This window comes from Homo sapiens, chromosome 13 (assembly GCF_000001405.40).
Source record: "Homo sapiens chromosome 13, GRCh38.p14 Primary Assembly".
Lineage (NCBI taxonomy): Eukaryota > Metazoa > Chordata > Mammalia > Primates > Hominidae > Homo > Homo sapiens.
Window position 1 is genome coordinate 71,133,437 of NC_000013.11, and position 17,343 is coordinate 71,150,779.

At 33.1% G+C, this 17,343-nt stretch overlaps 1 long non-coding RNA gene across 1 annotated transcript in view; it reads left to right on the forward strand.

Moving 5' to 3' along the window:
• LINC00348 (long intergenic non-protein coding RNA 348) overlaps window positions 1-17,343 on the forward strand; it is a 153,277-nt gene that overhangs the window by 118,296 nt on the left and 17,638 nt on the right. Inside the window, exon 2 of the long non-coding RNA NR_047699.1 lies at window positions 9,750-9,800. This is a non-coding gene — a long non-coding RNA (long intergenic non-protein coding RNA 348). The remainder of the gene's footprint in view (window positions 1-9,749; window positions 9,801-17,343) is intronic.

The window sequence follows — 17,343 nt, forward strand, 5'->3', positions numbered from 1 at the left end:
GCCAAATTTAATCATACGGTCCTCAAAAGTGAAAGAAGAGGAGGAAGAGAAGAGTGTTCAAAAAGTGCAATATGAAATGGACTCAATTCATTGCTACTGGTTTTCAAGATGGAGGTAGGAGGCCATCAGCCAAGAAATGCAGGTGTTACCTGGAAGCTGGATAAAGGAAAGCAATTGATTGTTCCGAAGAGCCTACAAAAATGAATGTGGCTCAGCCAACACCTTGATTTTAGCATAATGATACCTATGTCCAACTTCTAACCCACAGAACTATAAGATAATTAATATGAACTGTTAATCTACTAAATCTATGGCAGCTTGTTACTAATACATAAAGTTATAACAATTCATTACATGTGCATCAGTTTCCTAGGACTGCTGTAGCAAAGTACCACAAACTGAGTTGATTAAAACAACAGAAAAAAGAGTTCGACTCTTTCTGTTGACATCTATATTATTTAGCCATTGCACTTCTGGGTATATACCAAAAATAATTTAAAGTAGGGTCTTGGAGAGAGATTTGTACACTCATGTTCACAGCAGCATTATTCACAATAGCCAACAGATAGCACCAACCCAAATGTCCGTAAGCAAGCAAAACGCAATATACACATAGAATGGAATATTATTCATCCTAAATAGGAAGGAATGTCTGATACATGCTACAACATGAGTAAACTTTGGGGACATTTTGCTAAGTGAAATGGGCCAGTCACAAAACAGCAAACCCTGTATGATTCCATTTATATGAGGTATTTAGAATAGGCAAGTTCACAGAGATGGAAAGTAGAATGGTGGCTCTCATGGACTGGGAGGTAGGAGGCAATGTGAGCTTAGTGTTTTATGGGTATAAAGAGTTTCAGTTGTGCAAGATAAAAAGAGCTCTGGAGATTTTTTTCACCACAGTATGAATGCACTTAACACTACTGAACTGTACACTTAAAAATGGTTATGATAGTAAATTTTATATATACTTTACCACAATTAAAAAACATGTCTCCTTAAGAATTTTTCTAAGAATAATAGTAAAAATAATACATAGTTAAGAAAATCAAACAACAGAAATTAATTCTTATAATTGTGGAAGCTAGAAGTCTGAAATAAATGTGGCCGCAGAACCCCGCTTCCTCCAAAACATGTAGGGGAGAATCCTTTCTTGCATCTTCATGGCTTCTGATGGTGGTTGTGGATCCTTAGTGTTCCTGGGCTTATGGCTGTATCACTCCAGTGGCTGTGTCTGTCATCACTTGGCATTGCCCTTGAGAATCTATGTCATCACACCTTCTTTCTGTAAGGACATCAGTCATATTGAATTAAACTCTCACTTTACTGCAGTATGACCTTAGCTTAACTAATTACATATGCAATGACTATATTTCCAATTAAGATCACATTCTGTGGCACAGAGGGTTTGAACATCAATATATCTTTCTGGAGGAAAACATTCATAACAATACGTTTAACAAAAATGCACAAAAAGCAGGAAGGAGGGGCACTATATAAGAATGAAGATTATATGTTCATTGGTATTAAATTAGTATAAATCTGAAGTCAATTTTCAAAAATTTAGATATTTATTGAATGTCCTAGAGCAAACTTGAAGATAATAATTTCAAATTAGAATTATAAAATTACTAATGGAATTGTAACAGTTGACAATATCAATTTAAAATTAGGGAAGACAGTAAAGTAAGAACACATGAACAAAAAAGACATAAGACATATATAAAACAAAAATAAAAATGGCAGATGTAAATTCAACTATAGTAATAATAACAGGAATGTTAATGAATTAACAATCAGTCAAAGTGCAGAGGTTAACAGACTGTATTTCTTTAAAAGATAAGAACCAGCTTTTTGCTCTCTGTAGGTATACACTTTATATCCAAAGATCTAAATAGATTGAAAGTAAAAGGATTTAAAAAGATACTATAAAAACAACAATCAAAAAAGATGTGGAGTGTCTATACTACTCTCTGACAAAAGTTTTTGATTTTCAAACAAAAGTTTTTACTAAAGATAAGGAGGGTAACCTTGAAAAAGAATAATATATTTGAAAAAATCACACTTCTCTATTTTAAAACTTACTATACAGCCAGGATAATCAAGACTGTGTAGTATCAGTATAAGGATATAGATGATTTTATATATATATGTATATATATATATGTATATATATGTGTATATGTGTGTATGTGTGTGTGTGTGTGTGTGTGTGGATATAATAAATGGAGTAGAATTGACAGCCTATTGGTACCCCTTTTATATTTAGATCAGCTAATTTTTGGCAAGGACACCAACACAATTAAATAGGGAAACAACAAATCATTGCAGAAATGAATCACTTCAACAAATGATTGAAATCTACCACTGAGACAATATTCCCATACAAAAGAATGAATTCAAACTCCTACCTCACACTGTATACAAAAATTCACTCAAAATAGATCATAGATCTGAACGTAAATGCTGGCACTATAAAACACTTAGAGGCATACTTAGAAATACGTCCTTATGCCCTAGGATTAGATTACAATTTCTTAGGTTTGATATCAAAAACAAGTGATAAAAGAAAAATAGACAAATCTAGCTAAATGAAAATTAAAATATTTGTACTGCAAATGATGTCATCAAGGACATGAAAAGACAGCCCATTGAATGGGAGAATGGGGGAAGTATTGGGTATCAGTCTTCACAGAAAGCTGAAAATAAGAATTGTAATCCTATATTCTATTCTAAGCTATAGTAACAAATCCATTTTAAATACATTAAGAGTATGCTGAAATTTTATGTTTTGGTTTAATAAATCTTAATTGTTCTCACAGATGATAAGTACATTTTCAAGTAACATGAGAACCACTGCCTCAAAATTGAAAATACTTCATTATACTTAATTCTAATGAGCAGTGTGATCAAATATCAACTTTTAGTTGGATTTTTGCTACTATCTTAAAAATGCATCTTGCATAATGTATAACAACATGGATTGGATCAAAAGGCATAATATTAACATCCAACTCTGTTGTTTATTCAAGTCAATCTACTTATATATACAAATTTGATATTTACTTTTTAAAATATTTAACAGGCATAAGTGCCCATAAATCAGTTATGACAATCATTATTAAAACAATCAATAGTAAGGAATATGCATTAATTCAAATAATATTGATAGGCTCGTGAACCTGCATCAGTCTTCTGTGAAGTAAGAAAAATGAGACATCTTCAAAAAATCAATATTTTTCTTTTTATGTCATTCACTTCAAGATTATCAATAATACATTACTTTTTTTACCTTATGTGTCAATGATCTAATTTTTAAATACAGGCATATTTACATTTTAATGTAAAATGATAATCTGCAAGGAACTGAGAGGCTAAAAGTCATTTGATGAAAATATTTTTTGAAGTTTATTGCTTAAAACAAATATATATGCATCTCTCTATATATGTTTTTACACAAACCCATAAACCTATATATATGTTTATGTTCTATTGTATATTTGTGTGCAGCAGTGTAAGAAAGCTGTCTTTTAAAGTGTTCCTTCACCTCCATGGAAAATGCTCGTTCATTTTATTCTGAAGGTAAATTGCATGAAGAAAATAACAAAAATCTCAGTACCCATCTTTTTTAGCACTTGTGAACCAGGACGTTATACAGGTATGTACTTAGGTAAAAATACAAAATGTGATATTACAGCACCCATTCATCAAAAAGGAAACATTTTAATTGGTTATAGGTGGAAAATATCTACTTGACAGTCAGTTTCTCACTTTCACATAAGTGCTTTGCTGCTTGGATGCCTAATCTTGTTTAGTGTAGGGAAAGTAATTTGACATGAAAGTACCTAGATGGCTGCCGAAAATTAATTGCCAATTAAAAAAGAAAAATGTTTGTGCTACTCTATAAACAAGCCAACGTATAAACCTTTCAGTCTTGTTGCTTTATTTATGTCTTTATAGATCTGGTTTCAAGCTATTTGCATACAATTCACAAATTCATATTATAATTCTCCAGTATATTTATGATTTTATAGTTGTATATATTTTAGCTCCATGAGAAATATTTATTTCTGTATGCTTCTGTTGCTTATTATTTAACAAAAACATCACATTGCATTTGATAGTTTATGTGTCTTCTTTACACTAAGACATTTTTATTTGAAAAGGGAGAAAGAAGTACTTTACCACCACCAACAGACAGAGATTGAACACATGATTGTGTGTACATCAAACACACACGTGCACACACACACACACACACACACCATCACCACCACCACCACCATAGAACCAATTAGAAAACAATTTAAAGAATATTCCAGACCCCTTTATCTCCATGTTGGTCTACAAAATATTGAGGCTACTAATTTTTTCAGAGGTAATAGGAGGCTATTCTATATGAAGGAAACTATTTTTGAGAAATTAAAGGATTCTGATAAGCTTAATACTTGTAAACTGTTAGCCATTTGAAAATCTGAATTGGCAAAAAGAGAAGCCATTCCAATTTTTAGCAGTGTCTCCTAAAAGGGGAAAGTTGGATTGAAGATAAAATCTCTAACTGTAATAATTAGAGAAAATCAAATGATAAGGGGAAAGTGCCAATATTCTAAAAATGTTAGAGAAATCAGTAATGATACGTCTAGGTAATGTAGAGAAATATTAAAGAAATAAATGATATTTGAATCTAGATAGGCTATAAAGGATGATATCATATCCAGATGTGCCTGGCAATATAAACTATAAAATAATATAAAAATAATAGACAAAATTCAATCCAGCTTTCTATGACATTGGGCTATATAATGCATAGGAGTACAAGTCATGTTACACAGGACTGCTTCACTAACTTTAAAAGTCCCACTTTATATTTCCACCTAGTAAAGAATTACAATTTTGTTTTTGGAAATAACTAACAAAGACTTTTTGATTTTATATTTGAACCATAGACTTGTAGGACCATGTTTATAATTAACCCTTGTAAGACTTAATATGTGCCACATCATCATACTTCCTATTTTGAAATGTTGACAGCTTTCTCTGGTTGTGTAAAATTACCTGTGAGATAAAAGGTGGTCATTTATTACAGATCAAGCATTCATCACAGCTATCATACTGCACCTGGGGGGATAATGATGAAAATAATTTTTCCAAATAGTTTTCAAAAATAATAGCAGGAACTTCAGTATTTTACTTTGTTATTAAAAAAAAAACAAGTTTCTTATTAAGAGTTAAATAAAACAACATGTATTTTTTCACCTATATCAGCAAACTAGACCCAGCTCACTGGCTTTCTTAATTCTATTCAATTCATTATCTTTTGTACAGTCACTCCGATTCCTAACAATGGGGTTATCTTTTCCTTGTTCTTATATTGAATTGGGGCACAGATTGAAGAAGAACAGATAGGACATATGCCAGAGATGTTACATCCCCAATATCTCTCTCTTTAATGAGCGCCTCATCACTTCCAAACTGAGCTATTGCAAAAAGCAGCCAAGAATATATTTTAATATTGATTGATTTTTTACTATATGTCCTAGGCTCTGAGAACTGCCTTTACATATATTATTTCATTGGTTTTCTGCAAGATAGGTATTAATCACTCTAATACCATGAAAAAAGAATGCAATAAGACCTTCTCAGTATGTTATTCCATCTTTGCATTTCTGGGTCTTCAGAACAGTTTCTTATTCTATGTCTCTCAGTCTTAATTCCTGTACTTTTAAAAATATATTTTAAAAAAATATTGCAAAGGAAATAATTGCTTCCCACTCCGCAACTGTGTCTCAATAGAACATCTACTCCAAGAATCAATTTTACTCAAAAATTTGGAGGTAAATTCTGTATGTCTTTATACTATAATAATATATATATACTATTATATTGTATAAATACATATTTACATATATTTTAATAATGCAAACTTACATACATTTTTGAGCCAAAAGAGATGCTTCAAATAAATTTCCAGCTTGAGTTGGTACTTTCTAGGTATGCGAAAAAGGTCTGTGGTATGGTGAACTTTTCACGAGCCTCTGCTTTCAGGCAGATCCGGTTGTGTGTTCCAGTTATAGAATATATGAAGGTACAAACTCTATTACTTCATATCTGTGAGTAATGCATTTATATTTAGGCAATTGAATCTGTAGCACTTAGAGTAATTTCCCATTGCTTAATGCCACATAATGTTAGCTGAATTAAAGAACAAATAAAAAAATGATTATTTGATTAATATCAGTCTCCCTTATGAGGCTGAGCTTACGTGTAGGAGTAGCACTTGCTACTACTAATAAAACTCGCTGCTAATAAAACTCACTCTTTTGTTGCATTTCCAGGGTCTAGCTTGAAACTTGGTATAGGAAGCACCCTATAGGTTGAAGTGAGAAATGTTCACACGTGCACACACTCACAGAGAAACACCTATATCTTTACATTTCATTTTGTTTATTTTTGCTTTTAGAATGATTTCCCTAAGAATATTTGTAAAAAACATTGCAAGTTATCTTACCCCAAGTAAACAATTTATCATACCACTAACACAGCTAACATTCAAGTAGGAAGCCCATTGTATGCACATTTTGTTTTCATATGCTTTGCAGAATAGATGTTTCATGATGTTAATTAATATTAGAGCAAAATAAGTTCATGGGCAAATTGAAGGCATCTAGAAAAATTTTCGCATATTTGACATTTAACAAACTTATGATATATCTTATGTCTTGATGAAATATACGATTTGAATCTTCTCACAGAGCAGATGCAGTCGAAGTAAGTCTGTGATTAGAATCAGAAAACTTTGATCTAGGTACTGAATATGCTACCATAAGCTATGTGTTCATATGTGAATTACTTAAACTCATTCAGCTTTTAGCTTTGAACCTGAAAAATACAATATTCCATGTATCAATCTCTCTGGGTGGTTGTGAGGAACAAAGAGGACAATGTGTGGCGAAATGCCTTGTAAACTATAAAACACTACATAAATATGTTGTTCTGTTAACTGTTGTTCCTGGCCAAGCACTCTCTGGACATTTGGACCAGTTATTCTGACAGATTTGACAGCTGAGCTTCACATGAAGGAGAAAGACTAACATGGACCCCCTCAGACACCTTTGCATTTAATCTTTCTAACTACTACCGAATTGGCTGATGTAACAATGGAAACAAAGTCTCTCTTTGCTGTCAATTCCATTTTTTTTTCCAAATAGAAAAGAGCAACATCCTCCAAAAGTTATCTGGCATCACTGCCCTCTGCCGTGCTAGATTATTTAGTATAGATTTGTGCTAACTTTGAATCAATCACATGTACATCTAATTGTTTCTCTTTACATACTATCAACCTAAATTTTGTTGCTATTCTCCATGTTCAACATTTCTATTATGAATGAAGATGTGGTAACAAATCATTCTTAACATTTTAAAGATAGGAAAGTTTTAAAACAAAAACAACCTACTATTGTGGCGATGGCAAATATTTTTAAGGTGGTTGTTACTTAGTTTATATGAGTGACACATATATACTGGGGAATCTTCACTGTCTTTGAAAATTAAGAATTTCTAAAAATTATATAGATAGGCTCCATTTCCAAAATAGCTTTACAGGTTGTACTAGTTTTCTGTATCCTTTTTTACTCTTTCATAATTGCTTCTGGTGGCTCAATGTCAAATATGGAATGTGTGAGTGTGTGTGTGTGTGTGTGTGTGAAATCTGGAGTGTGTGTGTTGTATCTGTGCGTGAGAACCATGATCATATGCAGATCACATTACTTTAAAGGTTATTATATACAAATTTACTTTTGTAAAGATTTTTTTCCTATTAGGTATATGAATTTGGAAAATGCATCATTATACCAAAAGGAATAATGTTTTTAAATCCACAGGGTACAAATGAAGTACAGATGGTTGGTAACTTTTAATAATAAGATATTTTAAAAATGTGGCTGGTCTCAGTAGCTCATGCCTGTAATCTCAGCGCATTGGGAGGCTGAGGCTGGCAGATTACTTGAGGCCAGGAATTCCAGACTAGCATGGCCAACATGGTGAAGCCCATCCCTACTAAAAATACAAAAAAAAGCCAGGCTTGGTGGTGCACACTTGTAGTCCCGGCTACTCAGAAGGCTGAGGCAGGAGAATCACTTGAATACGGGAGGGGGAGGTTGCAGTGAGCCAAGATCTCACCACTGCACTCCAGCCTGGGTGACAGAGTTAGACTCTGTCTCTAATAATAATAATAATAATGTTTTAAAATTGTATTTCATAAAAATATAGTAACATTATTTATATCTGTGAATAACCGAGTTAAGCTACCACATGCCTTTAGACAAGCAACTTCGACTGAGGTAGCAGCAGACAAGCTATTTCAAACAATATTGTATTTTTCAGCTATCAACCATTAAAGGGGAGGCTGAATATTTTACATATGCTATTTTAACTATCTTGAAGTAGACAGTAAAATTCAATTTAAACATTAAAACTATCTTTCCCTACTAAATAAACCATAGGTGTCCCCTACACTTCTGACACTAATGTAATTATTATTAGCTTGCAATTCTTATCTGAGACAGTTATATAGATAAAGTAAGCCCTAAGTAACATTAAATCGGCCAATTTGACATTCTTCTCAGTAATGACCCTGACATGGCTGTTTTGCTGCAGAATATGGGTATGATTAAGTAATAGCAGGTGGGTCTTTACTGACATTAGTTATTTGCTAGTTGCTTTTTCTTACTTTAGATGAACTCTTTAAGACATAGATAATGGATATATATTAAATATTTTTGAAAATTCTAGAGAGTTTCATAAGGATATAGATGTAAATATGTAGATATATAGACTCCAGCCTATTTACAAAAAATATTTTATAATGATAGTTCATGAAATTGAAGTCTTGTATAAGCACCAATACTCAAATCTGTTTCATTCAGACATTTCTTTAATCTTCATTTGCAAGTTAGAGTTTTATCCATTGATAGCATGTTTTTAAAAAATATTCTATCATTATCCAAAGAATATTTCCCACACTCACACTGGTATAATCTAATTTTTCATTATTCTTTATATGTAAAATGAAAATATTTATTAATAAAATATTATGAATTATATTAATAATCTATATATAAAATGGAAGTAATAATTATTGTATAATATTGTTATGATTAACATTTTTTAAAAAAGAAAGAGCCATATGAAATTACTTTGAAACAAATCATTTCTACTATAAATTGGAGGATTAGATTTCCTCTGTAGAACTCAAAGCAATTACCCAGGAACTGGATTAGCAGTAAGAAAGCCTCACTTTAATGGATATTGTTAGTGAATTACCCAATTAAGTAGGAGGTCCTGAGGTTGGAATTTAATTGCTCTGCTTATGAGCCACACCTCAGATACAGAGGCTTCAATTTTCACATATTATGTGTGTGAGGGTTGAGGTGAAAAAAATTGCCACACAACATACCCAATGAAGTAATTAGATTTGAGCACTGAAAACCACGCCCAATTTTAGACAAAAGTTTCTGAAATATTCTTTATTTGGAACAATATATGAGCTAATTCCCACAAAATCTCAGACATCTGGACTTAAGTAAATGTTCTGGGTGTCCAGTGGTCTGGGAAATAACAAAATATTCCCTCCAAATTAGTCAATTTATGTTTCAATAATTCTGCATAGTAGTCTCCAAAATCTCAGTAGCTTTCAACACCAGCATTTTTTTTTCCGTTTCTTTTTTTTTTTTTTTTTTGGTACACAGATCTGTGGAGTGGCTGCAGCACCTGTGTTTCAGCCTGAAGAATGGGCACAGGTCAGTTCTGCTTATGTTTCATTTTAGGACTGCTGTGGTTTGGATGTTTGTGCCCTCTGAACCTCATGCGGGAATTTGATCTCCAATGTGTTAATGTTGGGAGGTGGGGCTGGTGGACAGTGTTTGTGTCAGGTGGGTGGAACCCTCATGAATATGTCATCCCTGGGGGTGAGGGAGATTTCACACTATTCGTTTCTGGTAGAGCTGGTTATGAAAAAGTGCTTGACACTTCCCCACCTTCCCCTCTGTCCATGTGATCTCTTTGCACATGCAAAGAGATCCTCTTGTGCTTTCTGCCATGAACTGGAACAGCCAGAGGACCTCACCAGATGCAGTTGTCTGGTCTTGAACTTTCCAGCCACCAGAATTATAAGCCAAGTAAACTTTTTAAATATATTATCCAGTTTTAGGTAGTCTGTTATTACCACACTAAATGGACTAAAACAAGGTCTAAGCTGAAGAAGCGATCACTATCTAAGGTATTTTTCTTTTTCACGGCACAGAGCAGGGCACCTAGAGTGTAAGCTAAACCAGGCAAGTCCACAGAAGCATGTGTGAAGCTAACTCATCTTTCACTGGCCAAAGTAAATTATATGTCCAAGCCCAATGCCAGTGAGGCAGGGAATTATACTACACCCAGTATAAACCATAGCAAGAGCAAAGGCAAAAGGAGAATTCTAAGCACATGATACCATCCAGTAAACGCTCAAAGGTGAAAGAGAATTCAGTGCACCTGTGTACTACTTTACCACGACAAAATTGTAAAACTACTTGTGGCAAGTGTTTTAAGAGTTCAAAGGCAACATAAGACACATTCGATGATATGTATTTAAGATATTTAGTGGGTAATCTCAAAACTGCCATATTTCAGTCAGGCCATTATTAGTAGACAATTCTCCATGGGTCTTTATGTCATGCAAGCAAGGCAATGACTACCCTTTGTCCAGGATTATCTTTTAAAGGATTTTTGCATAGTAGACAGCCTTGGAAGATAGATGTAATGTCTCCCTGTGGAGTAAAAGGCAAGCATGCTTAAAGTTTAATATACATACGTGCTTGAACAACAAATTATTATTATTATTTCTTTTCAGAAAAATGTATATTCATTACTATTTATATTAAGGTTACTTTTCAGAATATATGTATTTATATATGTAAATCAAGCTTGTTAATTATGTTATTCAAATTGCCTATACCCTTATAGATTTTTTTTGGTCTGCTTGATTTATCAATTACTGTGACAGGTATATTAAATCATCCACTCTGATGGTACATTTGTCTATTTCTCTATGTGTTTATATCTTTTTTGTGCTGCATATTTTAATCATATGTTACTAAGTACACAAAAGTTTAGAATTATAATATCTTTCTGTATAAATGCTTTTGCTATTATTTTGTGCCTCTCTTTATCTATAATAATATTCTTCATATTAGTATCTTTTTTCCTGGATTTCTACAGTGTCTGCTCACAAATTTACTTCTCTGGTTCTAAGTTTCCTGTTCTTGGAAACTAGTATGAAGAAATACTGCAGATGGTTCACAAAACCCTACGCAGATATTTATTTTGTACCAACAGTGACAATGTAACCTAGAAAATTGAAGTTGTGATGATAGCTCCTTCATTCTTACATTTTCAGAAGTGGTAGAGTTTATAGCTCCCATAGGTAGGCAGTTCGGAAGCATTGCTCTGACAGTCATTTCTGGATATTATACTATATCACCCAACAATGTTAAACTTAATTTCTTCTCTTAAATTTCTTTCTTGTTAAACTATCTAGAGTAGATTTTATCTGTCATGAGACTCACATAACGCAGTAACTTACAGCACCACTCTGGTGATAGGAATCTGGAATTGATTCCTGGTTGATCTCCATGGCAGTGATTAAATTATTTTCAAATAGAGTGCCAGTAACCTGTACATGCAGATTGCAAATGATTTGCTTAAATTATGATTCACAGTCCCTCTTTGGCAGACTGAATGGATGCTGCCATACCATCACACTGGAAATGAGGAATATAACACCATGAGGAAGAATGGTTGTTTCACACACTGGTGAGTTTAAAGGGGCAGTAACATGATAGGCTTTAAGTCTTTTTTTTATTAAAAAAAAAAAAAGCCATGGTAGAAAGAAAAATATTTCTATGACCACTCTAAAAAAATTCAGAGCCAGATGCTCTGGGTTGAGAAATTACAACATACATAAAATTCACAAAATCTTCTAGTATCTTATGCACTAATTAGAGTATTCATTGGTAAAGAGTTGGAGACTGATACTGAGAATGATGATATTTGAAATGATTTATTTGATTTAAATGACTCCCAAACTCCCACTCCCATGAAGCCTCACTTGCCCGCAGAGTCATGCCTTGCTTATAGACTCTGAAGGGGTTTTACCTCATGTCCACCTCCAACTGCCTGTCAGTGCTAACAGGGCCTCTACTAAGGTCAGATTAAGCATGCTGAGTCCCAAAGGATCAGAACATTTACACACTATAAAAAAGATTATAATATTAATACATATATGGCAAAAAAATAAAAATTGTGGGTAAAAGTAATTTCTGGGAACACTAGACCAAAATAGAGATAACATGGTTTCAGATTGATTGAATTTACTGATATGAATATATATATATATATATATATATATATATATATATATATATATATAAATATACCAGCCATGTGGTATATATTGTGGTATATATAGTGCTGTCTGGCAAGAATATAATAAGAAACATACATGTATTTTAATTTTCTAGTAGCCACATAAAAAGCACGAAGAAGTTAAAATTAATTTTAATATTTCATTTTTTAATATATTTAAAATATTTCAAAATATAATCAATATAAAACTATTAATGATATATTTTCCTTTATTTTACTGTTCTTGCAACTCCAGCATGATTTTACATTTATACCCTATCTCAATTTCAGATGCTAGCTTTTTATCAGAAATACTTGATTTATTTACATATAATAAAACAAATTGAGAAAGTAGATTCAGATCCCCAGGATTTTCCAAATATAATTAAACATTTTTCAGTAACAGAAAAAAGAACAAAAATAACATTTTACGTCAATATTTGCATCTAGATTGAAAAAACTCCTTTTGACATCATCAGGGAAATATGATAGGTAGTTACTTCAAGAAAACCAGAATAGTCTACTATATATTTGAAAGGAAAGAAAGGAGGAAGAATGGAAAGAGGAAAGGAAGGAAGCAATAGAAGAAGAGGGGACAGGAGAAAGGGAGGGAGGAAGTGAGGAGATGCAAGAATGAAGGAATTAAGGAAAGAAAATAACAAGAGTAACAAAGGGTTTCTGGAAATTAACAATATTATCAATATATAGCTAGAAAGAGATAAGAGAAAGAGATAAGTTTCAAGGGCCAGCTATTGATGTGAACAATAAACTGAAAACACATCCTAATATAAAGAGCCAAAGAAAAAAGAAAAAAGAAAGCAGACATAAGAGAAGAGTTAACAAGGAGATTTACTTCCAGTTGTTTAACAATTGCCTATGCTTCAGAGCTGAGAATGTGATAGAAACGAGATAGAAAACACAAACACTACAAACAAAATAGAAAACACAAAATCCCTGGAAAATCTCCTGAACATAGTCTTCAAAGATTTGACTGTTCACAAATTACTGAAGCAAGATGAAAGAAATAATGTATATACAAAAACATCCTACCCACAAGGGTTAGAAATCAGACTGACCTAATACAGTGCTTATAACACCAGATTCTGCAAACCTGTGGAGGGATGTCTTGAAAGTTTTGAAAACTGTGCAAGCAAACAATTTTGAACTTCAAATTCTAAGTTAATATATTGTAGTGTAAAGCAAAATAAAGACATTTTCAGTCGTAAAGTAATGAGAGTGCTCATTACCATTATCTTATATAAAACTAAATATTCTGGCCGGGTGCAGTGGCTCACGCCTGTAATCCCAGCATTTTGGGAGGCAGAGGCGGGCAGATCATGAAGTCAAGAGATCGAGACCATCCTGGCCAATATGGTGAAACTAAAAATGCAAAATTATAAAAATACAAAAATTATAAAAATACAAAAATTAGCTGGGTGTGGCGGCATGCGCCTGTAGTCCCCGCTTCTTGGGAAGCTGAGGCAGGAGAATTGCTTGAACCCAGGAGGCGGAGGTTGCAGTGAGCCACGATGGCACCACTGCACTCCAGCCTTGGTGACAGAGTGAGACTCTGAAAAAAAAACAAAATTAAATATTCTGAAAGATTCTCTTGGAAAAGAAAAAAAAAGTGGAAGTAGGAATATGAGAAAGTTGATATGAGGCAGAAAAAATACTGACAATGATTTCAGGATGAAGAAAAATAGGTGCAAATATATTTTTGAAAAGTAGTTGTCCCGGATGTTTAGCAAAATGTACTTTGGCAAAGTTTAGGGACTTATGGATTATTTTCTTTTCTCAAGTTAGTCTAACTGTAATACAGGGCTCTGAAGTGATTGATATTCAACGTCATAATATATTCAAACATAATATATTCAATGTCAACCAAAAATTTAAAAAGTAGATAATGTTCTTACTATTTCAAAGCATACAGCAAAAGTTAAAAATTGTAAAGTGAAAATACACATAACCAAACCAAAAAAATGTAGACAGTTGGAAAGATGGGAGGTTATATAATGAGGAGAAATTCTTTATCTCATAGTGAGCATTAAACATAAATGTCAAAGTTGTTTTTTTTAATTTTAAGAACATTACATAATATATTTTAATTATATGCTTATAAGAAATTTATTTTATTCTTAGATTCTTCTGTTCTAGAGATCATTTTGAATTAAAAGAAAATCATGTTGTCCTTATTCTAGTTTTTTCATTTAATGTATATAGTATATTTATTAATCGGTTTTAAAAGTTCTTTATTTCTTCTCTATTTTCTTTTTTTCTTCTCTATTTTCTTTTTTTTCTTTTTGAGGAAATAGAAGTAAACATGAACATTTGAAATGACTAGCAAAATACCTCTATATATTCTCACAAAGCAAATGCACTTTTAAAAGCTCCCATGTGGGAAACTTCTTCTCAAATGAAAGATGGAAAAAAAAATTGGGGTAAGAGGTAACCAAATCACCCAAAATAAAAAAGATTTTTAAGTAGAAAACTAATACTACACAGCAGAACTTCTCTATATGTTCAAAATCCTAACGTTTTTCTTAAGGAGTTGGGATGGAGTCAACAAGTCCCAAATCAGTCTTTCTATATTAAAAAGAGACAAAAGGGAGAATCTAATGAGCTTAAACTCAGAGCCACAGAGATAATGAGAGCAAGAGACCTTGGTCTGTAAGCAGCAACTCCCTTTGTTTCACATTGAATACCCTCATCTAGTTATTAGTTCTTCCTCCAGTAATCTGTCAAACAATGAGGGACTAGAATTTTAAAAGGTGCATTGCCACAGAAAGCAAGCCAGTGCTGAGCTAGTGAAAAGGTGAGATAATGAGATTGACATTGCTGACACTGGAAATCTGGTAATATAAAGATTAGTTTACAATCAAATTACTCTCATATTCACTTATAGCCAAATAAGTAAAGAGGCCACCTGTAAAGTATTTTCCCCACGAGCAATGGTATGGAGACTGTTATAATAAACACATGTTTTAGGCAGCAAGGAATTCAGTGGAAGTTGCTAGACACGTAGGTTGTTCAAAACTAAGCAAGATTCTCCTAAACGAATGATTCATCCATAGTAACAACACTAATGCATTATTGACTTTCAGTTTATATCTATTTTCATTTTTTCCAATCTGTTGCAGTGCAATAGAAGTGGTGGTTTGTTGTGTTGTTGTTTTAAGATGTTGTTTTAAGTACATAATTTCACTCCATTTGTGCCAGGAAAATGCCCAAACACCTTCATTAGAAATAAAGCAAATCTGTTCAACAGTACTCCGAACAGCAGGCACTGTATGCTTTATTGAACAGAAAAGCTTTAACAAGCCTTATCGTGTACACATGTTCATTGTGCCTGTGTCTGCTTATGTTCTCAAACTTCCTGAAAATGTGGGTACAACAACAAAGCAGTGTTTAGCTACCCTACTTAACTTGGCCAGGTGGTTGATTATATGGTTTGGCATATTTTTTGCAGGTGGTATACAAAATCATATGTACGAGCTGTTCAGCCCACTGAAACAGTTTTTTGTAACATTTTTTTTGCTAAATGACACAGCCCCAGCCACACATAACAACATAAAATGATGCCAGAGTGATATCTTCTCTGGATTCATTTAGCTTTGCAAAGAATTCTCTAAGAAAGACATTTTCCTGCTTTCGTTTCTGTTTCATGCTGGGTAATGTTGGCAAGAATTATTCATGGCACATGTGAGCAATTCAAAGAAATATTGTAAAAAAAAAAAAAAAAACAAGGCAGCTTTGCAGAGGTGCGCTATCTGCTTGATGACTTGGCATGCTGCCTCTGGTGCTTGGCATAGCACCCTAGCTGCTGGCACAGGGGAAGTTACATATACTTGCCATTGGGCCTCTACTATGCTACCTGCTGTGCACGATCAATATCAACCAACTGCATAAACAACCGGATGAACCTTGTATCTGAGGGACAGCAAATAGCATTTGAATTATTTTACATAAATCTGAAAATGTAATAGCGGTTGATGTTCCTATTAGTATTATATCTGAGCACGATGATCATAATTGAGTAACATTAAATTTAGTTTATTGAACAGCAGTCCACTGCCCGGTTTACTGTGACTACGATCTGTGTAATGAAACCAGCAATATGAAAAATTCTCTCAGTTGGTACACTTCCTGGAGAGGAGCCAAAGTATTTATTGCTATTTGTGCAATTAATGGCCGTATCGATTTCTTTTTTTTCTGGTAAATAGTAGATAAGTTGTGCTAAGTTTTCTTAGCTCTTCAAGGTTTGTTTCAGCTGTAATTAATGTGACTGTAAGAATAATACTCAATTGTTCTCAGGAACTGGTTTTCATGTCTGCAGCATTTGCAACTGACACATTACTCTAGTTTGAAATGATTAAATTGATAAGTGACTCTATTGCCAAAATAATCCCATATGCTGAAGTGTGATTTATTAATGTTCAAAAATCAGAAGGTAAAACTTCACTAGCCAAAATGCTGTGGTGGTTAATCATCTGTTCTTCCAGCTAATTCCATAATCCTCAATGTGACAATCAATTCATCATGCTGAAATGGCAAATTCATATGAATCATATTTCCAAGTTCTACAGGCAGTCAATAAAATATATTGCACATTTCCCATAAATTATGTGATATAATGTTAATTTATTTTTCACATTAAAAACTCTAACTACCCTATGTGTTTATATATTGTGCTTGTAAAATGATGAGCCTCATCCTGGCACATCTAGACAATTACACCATGCACAGGAAAGAAGATGTGAAGCCCTCTGATTTATAAAGAATTCACAGAAATACTGGGAAGTCCACCTCCTCTAATATGATCAAATGTTCTAATGTCTTCTCCTACTTTGTTCTTATGTCTTACTGATCAGGATTCAAAGATCTTCTTTAGCGTATTTCTCA